This window comes from Homo sapiens, chromosome 19 (assembly GCF_000001405.40).
Source record: "Homo sapiens chromosome 19, GRCh38.p14 Primary Assembly".
Classification (NCBI taxonomy): domain Eukaryota; kingdom Metazoa; phylum Chordata; class Mammalia; order Primates; family Hominidae; genus Homo; species Homo sapiens.
Window position 1 is genome coordinate 10,533,461 of NC_000019.10, and position 10,212 is coordinate 10,543,672.

General features: G+C 49.0%; 2 annotated features.

Annotated features, from left to right (window-relative positions):
- Positions 2,240–2,440: a silencer, noted in NCBI's record as "peak3353 fragment used in MPRA reporter construct". NCBI's record gives its function as "represses an SCP1 promoter by STARR-seq MPRAs in K562 erythroleukemia cells {active_cell/tissue: K562}" and the evidence as "EXISTENCE:reporter gene assay evidence [ECO:0000049][PMID:32103011]".
- Positions 10,160–10,209: a silencer, noted in NCBI's record as "silent region_10079". NCBI's record gives its function as "represses an Ori minimal core promoter by ATAC-STARR-seq in GM12878 lymphoblastoid cells {active_cell/tissue: GM12878}" and the evidence as "EXISTENCE:reporter gene assay evidence [ECO:0000049][PMID:35858748]".

The window sequence follows — 10,212 nt, forward strand, 5'->3', positions numbered from 1 at the left end:
CGTCTCTACTAATAGTAAAAAAATTAGCCTGGGCATGGTGGTGCAAGCCTGTAATCCCAGCTACTCAGGAGGCTGAGGCAGGGGAATCACTTGAACCCTGGAGGTGGAGGTCGCAGTGAGCCAAGATTGCGCCACTGTACTCTGGCCTAGGCAACAGTGAGACTCTGTCTCAAAAAAAAAAAAAAAGGCAGCAATTAGCAGGACTCTTTTATAGAACATCATTCATGTAACCCACAGGGTAATGGATGCATGAGAGGCGGGACTGGATGGCCCCAAGAAACAGGGGAAGTTTGACAAGGAACATGATCTATTGTGAGAAAGTACCTATCCACATAGTTAACGTTTTCTTCAAGACTGTAATTTGTTCCAACAACTGCTCTGCCTGGGAGGGATTTCCGGGCATGATTTATTTCACTAAGAGGCATGGGAACTGGGTGGAGATGCATGGAAACATTTTTTGAATAGTTGAGAGGCCCAGGATAAAATTCATGCACAGACGCCACAATGCAGTCAGTAGAAGGAAATGTTATCTTATTGGGTTCTACTCAAGGGCAGTTTTGAGTCAGTGCTCTAATGCCACCATACTGATTTGTTTTCTCAACTCTATTAAGGAATACTTGACATGTAATAAGCTGCACATACTTAAAATATTCCATAGCAGAACATGGGGGCACATGCCTGTAATCCTTGCTGCTCAGGAGGCTGAGGAGGGAGGATCACTTGAGCCCAGGAGTTTGAGGCTGCAATGAGCTGTGGTGGCGCCACTGCACTCCAGCCTGGGAGACAGAGTGAGACGATAACAAAAATAAAATAAATTAGCTGGCCAGGCGCGGTGGCTCATGCCTGTAATCCACACCTGTAATCCCAGCTCTTTGGGAGGCCAAGGCGGGTGGATTGCCTGAGCTCAGGAGTTCGAGACTAGCCTGGGCAACACAGTGAAACCCCATCTCTACTAAAAATACAAAAAATTAGCCAGGCGTGGCAGTGTGCACCTGTAGTCCCAGCTACTTGGGAGGCTGAGGCAAGAGAATTACTTGAACCCAGGAGGCAGAGGTTGCAGTGAGCGGAGAACACACCACTGCACTCCAGCCTGGACAACAGAGTGAGATTCCGTCTCAAAAAATAAAAATAAAAAATAAAATAAATTAGCTGGGTGTGGTGGCGCATGACTATAATCCCAGCTACTGGGGGAGGCTGAGGCAGGAGAATCGGGAGAATCGCTTGAACCGGGAGGCGGAGATTGCAGTGAGCCGAGATCGCAGCACTGCACTCCAGCCTGGGTGGCAGAGCAAGTCTCCGCCTCAAAATAAATGAATAAAATAAAATAGTCTAGTTCCTGTACATCTTCTCCAACACTCATTAAGGTCAGTGTTTCTCATTTTAGAGGTTCTAGAGGATTTTGGGGGGTATCTGATTTCTATGTTATTTTGAATTTTCCCGATGGCTAATGATGTTCAGATTCTTTTTTTTTTTTTCCCACAGAACCATTCAAGTGTAACTTTTTTTTTCTTTTTATAGAGACGGAGTTTCACTATGTTGCGCAGGCTGGTCTTCAACTCCTGGCCTCAAGCAATCCTCCCACCTCAGCCTCCCAAAGTGCTGGGATTACATGTGTGAGCTACCATGCCAGTCTTTTTTTTTTTCTTTATAGAGACCAGTTCTCACTCTGTCACCCAGGCTGGAGTTAGTGGCACGATCTCAGCTCGTCACAACCTCCGGCTCCTGGGCTGAAGCTATCTTCCCACCTCAGCCTCACAAGTAGCTAAGACCAGAGACATGTGCCATCAAGCCTGCCTATTTTTTTTTTTTTTTTTTGTAGAGACAGGGTCTCCCCATGTTGCCCAGGTTGGTCTCAAACTTGAACTCCTGGGCTCAAGCAATCCTCCTGCCTCAGCATCGCAAGTGCTGGGATTACAGTCATGAGCCACCGTGCCTGGCCATAATGGATATTCTTTTTTTTGAGACAGGGTCTGTCTCTCTCTGGTAACCAGGCTGGAGTGGAGTGCAGTGGCGCACTCACAGCTCACTGCAGCCTCCACCTCCTGGGCTCAATGCTCCCACCTCAGCCTCTGAAGTAGCTGGGACTACAGATGAGTGCTACCCTGCCCAGCTTTTTTTTTTTTTTTTTTTTTTTTTTTTTTGTAGAGACCATGGTCTCACTATGTTGCCCAGGCTGGTCTCAATCTCCTTGGCTCAAGTGATCCTCCTGCCCTGGCCTTCCAAAGTCCTGGGATTACAAGTGTGAGACACTGCACTCGGCTGAGAGTTTTGTTCTTACAGCCGACTTACAGATTCACAAGCAATGACACAGCTGATTAGGAATGATGGCAAGTGTGATCAGGTGGACCTGAGAACACACACAGGGCGACTTGCCCAAGCTGGAGGTCAGGACAGGCCTCTGAGCTGTGGGTGGGCAAGCTGAGGCCTGCTGGAGAAGAGGGAGAAACCGACTCCATTCATTTCCAGGCTTGCAGTAATTAATTCGCACAAACTAGGTGGTTTAAAACAGACGTGTATTCTCTCACAGCTCTGGAAGCTAGAAGTCCAAAGTCAAGGTTGGTGGTAGAGCTATGCCCTGTCTGAAGGCTCTAGAGGGGAATTCATAGCTGGGTCCTTCCTAGCTTCCCATGGTCTTTTTGTTTGTTTGTTTGTTTGTTTGTTTTTGAGATGGAGTTTCGCTCTTGTTGCCCATGCTGGAGTGCGGTGGCACAATCTTGGCTCACTGCAACCTCCACCTCCCAGGTTCAAGCGATTCTCCTGCCTCAGCCTCCTTAGTGCAGGTGCCTGCCACCACGCTCAGCTAATTTTTGTATTTTTAGTGGAGACAGGGTTTTGCCGTGTTGGCCAGGCTGGTCTCGAACTCCTGGCCTCAAGTGATCCGCCCACCTCAGCCTGCCAAAGTACTGGGATTACAGGCGTGAGCCACTGTGCCCCACCCATTTGACAAAAATTTTTTAAAATTAGCCAGGCGTGGTGGTGTGCTCCTGTAGTCCCAGCTACTCGGGAGGCTGAGGCAGGAGGACAGCTTGATTCTTGTAGTTGGAGGCTACAGTGAGCTATGATTACACCACTGCACTCCTGGGCCATAGAGCAAGATCGAGTCTCTAAAAATTAATCAATCAATCTGCAAAGACTCTATTTCCAAATAAAGGCACATTCACAGATACCCAGGGTTAAGACTTCCACATGAATATTTGGAGGACAGAGAATTCAACCCACAATCCAGGCTGACCTGTGACAGTGACAGTTATTTGGCATCCAAAGTGTGGCTACGAGTTCAATCTTGGAAAGCCTGGGACAGCCCAGCCAGGGGGTTCCTGAGGTGTAGGTGCGTGGTGACTGGCTTTTTTAAGGGCACGAATCTTTTGGGAGCAGAAGGAGGAAGACAGGAGGAAGGGAAGAAATTGTTGAGAGACCTGGGTCAGTCTCACCAGACTGAGTGCAGAAGCCGAAGACCCCTGGCCTCTACACTGGGCTCAAAGTGGTCAACTCCACGGCCAGGGGCAATGGCTCACACCTGTAATCCTAGCACTTTGGGAGGCTGAGGCAGGTGGATCACATGAGGTTAGGAGTTTGAGACCAGCCTGGCCAACGTGGTGAAACACTGTCTCTACTAAAAATACAAAAATTAGCCGGGCATGGTGGCACGCGCCTGTAATCCCAGCTACTAGGGAGGCTGAGGCAGGAGAATCGCTTGAACCCAGGAGGCGGAGGTTGCAATGAGCCGAGATTATGCCACTGCAATCCAGCCTGGGCAACAAGACGGAAACTCCAACTCAAAAAAAAAAAAAAGGTGGTCAACTCCAACAGAATGTAGTGGTGTGTGCCCATGGTCCCCCCTACTCGGGAGGTTGAGGCAGGATCGTTTGAACCCAGGAGGTCAAGGCTGCAGTGAGTACTGATTGCACTACTGCACTCCAGCCTGGGTGACAGAGACCTTGTCTCTATTTCATTACATGTTGAGATGATAACATTTTGGATGCGTTGGGATAAATAAAAAGAATTATTAAAATTGATATCACCTGTTTCTTTTTACTTTTAAAAAATGTGGCTAATAGAATATTGAAAATTATATTTCATGTTATTTTTCTACTGGATTGTACTTCTCCAATTTTGGGTTGGTTTTTTTTTTTTGGTTTGTTTGTTTTTGTTTTGTTTTGTTTTTTTAAACGGAGTCTCAATCCCGTCGCCCAGGCTGGACTGCAGTGGAGCAATCTCAGCTCATTGCAACCTCCACCTCCCGGGCTCAAGCGATTCTACTGCCTTAGCCCCCCGAATAGCTGGAACTACAGGTGCCTGCCACTATACCCAGCTAATTTATGTATTTTTAATAGAGACAGGGTTTCATCACACTGTCTAGGCTGGTCTCGAATTCCTGACCTCAAGTGATCTGCCCGCCTCGGCCTCCCAAAGTGCTAGGATTACAGGTGTGAGCCACAGCCGCCGGATTCTTTTCCAGATTTTTTTGGCATGATGGAATTTGTTTATAAAAATACCGTTCTAAGCTGAGTGGGGTGGTGTGTACCTGTATTCCCAGCTACTCGGGAAGCTGAAGTCGGAGGATTCTTTGAGCTCAGGAGTTGGAGACCAGCTAGCTAGGGCAACACAGCAAGACCCTGTCTCAAAAAAAAAAAAAAAACATTAAAATTAAAAAACAGCTAGGTCCTTCTAGCTGTTTGTGGATTTGAGGGGTCAGACATAGCAGCTAAGAGACCAGGGACTAGGATGATGGATGCTGGACCCAGGAGGGCAGTGGTGGGAATAAGAATAACAAGAACAGTCATAATTCACACTGACGTGGTGGAGACCATGTGCCTGGCACTGTTCAAAGCATTGTGCATATTCACTTCATCCTTCTCCCAAACACTAGAAGGGAGGCAGTATCACTACCCCATTTGGCAGATAAAGAAACTAAGACAGTGGCCGGGCACCGTGACTCACCCCTGTAATCCTAACACTTTGAGAGGCTGAGGCAGGAGGATCACTTGTGCCCAGGGATTCAAGGCTGCAGGAAGCAATGATTGCACCATCACACTTCAGCCTGGGCAACAGAGTGAGACCCCGTCTCTCTCTCTTTTTTTTTTTTTCCAATGAATCAATTTTATTTTCAGACTTTCATAGTTAGTCTAATTAAATCAATTTAAAGTTCTCACTTTCTTGACATGCTTAAGAAGTATAGTGTAGTGGGTGAAATCATAGACGCCGGAGACAGGACTTCCTGGGTTAGAATTCCAGATCAGCAACTTACTAGAATGAAACCTTGGCCACATTATGTCATCTCTTTGTGTCTCCATTTGCTCATTGCTTGGCGATAGGTGATTGTCTCACCGCTCAGCGATAGGCGATGGTCTCACCGCTCGGCAATTGGCGAAGGTCCCATCTGGGTCGCCAAAATGTGTCCGGAATTGGTGGGTTCTTGGTCTCACTGACTTCAAGAATGAAGCCGCGGACCCTCGCGGTGAGTGTTACAGTTCTTAAAGGTGGCGTGTCCAGAGTTTGTTCCTTCTGGTGTTCAGATGTGTTCGGAGTTTCTTCCTTCTGGTGGGTTCGTGGTCTCGCTGGCTCGGGAGTGAAGCTACAGACCTTTGCGGTGAGTGTTACAGCTCTTAAAGGCAGTGTGGACCCAAAGAGTGAGCAGTAGCAAGATTTATTGCAAAGAGCGAAAGAACAAAGCTTCCACAGTGTGGAAGGGGACCCGAGCGAGTTGCCCAACCCCATCTCTCAAAGAAAAAGGAACTGAGGCAGAGAGTGGCGAGGTCCCTTATCTGAGCCATCTGGCTGCACAGTCTGTACTGAGTGCAGAATCCAAAGACCCCTGGGCCTACACTGGGCTCAAAGTGGTCAACTCCAATGGAATGCGGTTGTGTGTGCCCACGGTGCCAGCTACTCAGGAGGCTCAGGCAGGATCACTTGAGCCCAGGAGGTCAAGGCTGCCATGAGTCCTGATTGAACCACTGAACTCCAGCCTGGGTGACAGAGTGAGACTCTGTCTCGAAAATAATACACTTGGGCACAGTGGTTCATGCCTGTAATCCCAGCACTTTGAGAGGCTGAGGAGGGCAGATACCCTGAGGTCAGGCGTTCAAGACTAGCCTGGCCGACGTGGCGAAACCTGTCTCTACTAAAAATACAAAAAATTAGCTGGGTGTGGTGGCGCGTGCCTGTAATCCCAGCTACTCGGGAGGCTGAGGCAGGAGAATCACTTGAATCCATGAGGTCGAGGTTGCAGTGGGCCAAGATCGCGCCACTGTACTCCAGCCTGGGCAACAGAGTGAGACTCTGTCTCAAAAAAAAAAAAAAAGGGAATTGGGGTTGGACGCAATCTTGAGGGTGGGGCCCTCACACCATTCTCCTGCCTCAGTCTCCTGAGTAGCTGGGACTACAGGCGCCCGCCACCATACCTGGCTAATTTTTTGTGTTTCACTGTGTTAGCCAGGATGGTCTTTATCTCCTGACCTCGTGATCTGCCTGCCTCGGCCTCCCAAAGTGCTGGGATTACAGGCATGAGCCACCGAGCCCGGCTGAGACCAGGATGTCAAGGCTTCAGTGAGCCAAGATCATGATGCCACTGCACTCCAGTACTGGCAACAGAGTGAGACTGTGAGAAAAAAAAAAAAAAAAGAAAGGAAGGCAGGTGAGAGGATATAAGATAAGAAGAGAATCTCAGCTGGGCGCGGTGGCTCACGCCTGTAATCCCAGCACTTTGGGAGGCCAAGGCAGGCAGATCACCTGAGGTCGGGAGTTCGAGACCAGCCTGAGCAACATGGAGAAACCCTGTCTCTACCAAAAATACAAAAAATTAGCCAGGTGTGGTGGTGGGCGCCTGTAATCCCAGTTACTCGGGAGGCTGAGGCAGGAGAATCGCTTGAACCCGGGAGGCAGAGGTTGTGGTGAGCCGAGATTGCCATTGCACTCCAGCCTGGGCAAAAACTCCATCTAAAACAAAAAAACAAAACAAAACAAAAAATAGAAGAGAATCCCACCAAGAACCATGCTGGCACCCTGATCTGGGACTTTCTAGCCTCTAGAACTGTGAGAAGCAAAGGTGTGTTGTTTTAGCCCCCAAGGCTATGGTATTTGTCACAGCAGCCCAAGGGGATAAAGACAGTAAGGTTGTGATAACTACTCCCATGCGGCGGGGAGGGGGAAAAAGGCAGGGAAGAGAAGGAGACCAAGGATGGAGATGGGGGAGAATTTTGAGAGTGGTAATCTTCGTGTAGGGGTGATATTTGAATAAAGACTTGCGGCCGGGCACAGTGTCTCACGTCTGTAATCCCAGTACTTTGGGAGGCTGAGGTGGGTGGATTACTTGAGGTCAGGAGTTCGAGACCAGCCTGGCCAACATGGTGAAACCCCATTTCTACTAAAAATATAAAAATTAGCTGGGTGTGGTGGCACATGCCTGTAATCCCAGCTACTCAGGAGGCAGGAGGATCACTGGTGCCCAGAAGGTCGTGGTTGCAGTGAGTTATGATCGTGCCACTGCACTCCAGCCTGGGCAACAAAGTGAGACCCTGCCAAAAAAAAAAAAAAAGACCTGAAGGAGGTGACGGAGAGCCATGGTAAGAAACGTGGTCTGGGCAGAGGGAACAGCAAGTGCAAAGACTCTGAGGTGGCATTGGCTCTGTTGAGTTTGAGAAAGGGTGCACTTGGCTGGTTGCAGTGGCTCAAGCCTGTAATCCCAGCACTTTGGGAGGCCCAGGCGGGCAGATCACCTGAGGTCAGGAGTTCAAGACCAGCCTGGTCAACATGGTGAAACTCTGTCTCTACTAAAAATATAAAATTAGCCGGGTGTGGTGGCTCACACCTGTAATCCCAGCTACTCCAGAGGCTGAGGCAGGAGAATTGCTTGAACCTGGGAGGCGGAGGTTGCAGTGAGCTGAGATTGTGCCAGTGCACTCCAGCCTGGGCTACAGAGCAAGACTCTGTCTCAAAAAAATAAAATAAAATAAATCAATAAATTAATAAATTAATGAAAGAGAAAGGGGTCAATTGTGATTGAAGGCGACTGGGAGGAGAGGGGAAAAAAGGAAAGTCAGGGAGGTGACTGCCCCTTTTGTGCCTTCTCCTTCTTGGATCACACCCTCATTCAAATCTTTCTTACCTCCTTCAGAGAGCTGAGGACAGAGCCCCGGGGCTGGCCACTAGAGGCCACCCTCTCCATGGCTCACAGGGTCACTGCATTGTCATCATGCAGTTGGCTCTCACTGAGCCCCAACTGTTCCTCAAATACCACTCTAAGCACTTTACATTGGTAAGTTCAGCTCATTCCCATACATCTTTATGAGTTAGACACATTTAAAACTTTTTCCTGGCTGGGTGCAATCGCTCATGCCTGTAATCCCAGCACTTTGGGAGGCCGAGGCTGGCGGATCACCTCAGTCAGGAGTTCGAGACCAGCCTGGCCAACGTGGTGGAATCCTATCTCTACTAAAAATACAAAAATTAGCTGGGCGTGGTGGTGTGCGCCCGTAATCCCAGCTACTCAGGAGGCTGAGGCAGCAGAATTGCTTGAACCTGAGAGGTGGTGGTTGCAGTGAGCCAAGATCGCACTAGTGCACTCCAGCCTGGGCAACAAGAGCGAAACTCCATCTCAAAATAAATACATAAATAAATGAAAATAAAATAAAAAATAAAAATTGTCCCTGGCCAGGTGCAGTGGCTCATGTCTGTCATCCTAGAACTTTGGGAGGCTGAGGCTAATCGTTTCAGCCCAGGAGTTCAAGACTAGCCTGAGCAACACTGGGAGACTCTATCTCTACAGAAAAATTTTTAAAAATTAGCCAGGGGTGGCCAGGCACGGTGGCCCACGCCTGTAATCCCAGCACTTTGGGAGGCCGAGGTGGGCGGATCACGAGGTCAGGAGATCGAGACCATCCTGGCTAACACGATGAAACCTCGTCTCTACTAAAAATACAAAAAATCAGCCAGGCGTGGTGGCGGGCGCCTGTAGTCCCAGCTACTCGGGAGGCTGAGGCAAGAGAATGGTGTGAACCTGGGAGACAGAGCTTGCAGTGAGTCGAGATCGCGCCATTGCACTCCAACCTGGGCAACAGAACGAGACTCCGTCTCAAAAAAAAAAAAAAAAATTAGCCAGGGGTGGTGGCATGTGCCTATAGTCCTAGCTACTCAGGTGGCTGAGGCAGGAGACTTGCTTAAGCCTCGGCAGTTGAGACTGCAGTGAGCCATGATCAGGCCACTGCACTGTAGTCTGGATGACAGAGCAAGACCCTGTCTCAACAACAACAACCAAAATCTGTTTGGGCCTCGCAAGGTTAGAGAAAAAAAATTAAAAAATAAAATAAAATAAAATATTTTCCTGTAGTCTCAGCTACTTGGGAGGCTGAGGCAGGAGGATCACTTGAGCTAAGGAGTTTCAGGCCAGCCTGGGCAACATAGAGAGAACTTGTCTCTATAAAAAGTTAACTGATTACTTTTTAAAACAAAGAGGTTTTTTTTCAGCCTTATTGAGGTATAATAGACATATACAAAACCATGCAAATTTTAAGCGTACAATCTGATGAGTTTTCACACCTGTGAAGCCACTATTACAGTTAAGATACTGAATTTATCCACAGCTCCAAAAAATGTCTTCCTGCCTGAGGTGGTGGCTCACGCCTGTAATCCCAGCATTTGGGAGGCTGAGGCGGGAGGATCTCATGAAGCCAGGAGTTTGAGACCAGCCTAGACAACATAGCGAGACCCCTTATCTACAAATAAAATTTAAAAAATTAACCAGGCATGGTGGCTCCTGTCTGCGGTCTCAGCTACTCTGGAGGCTGAGGTTGGAGGATCAGAGTTGGAGGCTGCAGTGAGCTATGAAAGCGCCACTGCACTCCAGTCTGGACAACAGAGCCAGATGCTGTCTCGACAAAACAAACACTGAAAAAAACTTTCCTGGAGCACTTCATTCATCCCTCCCTCCCGCGCCTGCCTACCCCTGGATTTTTTTTCCCTGAGCATAATTCTCATGAAGATTCGTCTATGTTGTTGCGTGTATTCCAGCCCTATTTTGCACATGAGGAAACTGAGGCACAGAGAGGCGTGGCTTGCCCCGGAGGTCACACTAGTCGATTTGGTCCCAGGCCAGGGCGGGTTCTGGGTCGGCAGCCCGCGCAGGTGCACTCGGGAGGCGGGGCGGGCGCTGCAGGTGCGCAGTCAGTCTCACCTGGGCGCCTGCCAGGAGGTCAGTCCTGGGCCCTGGGGGGCAGG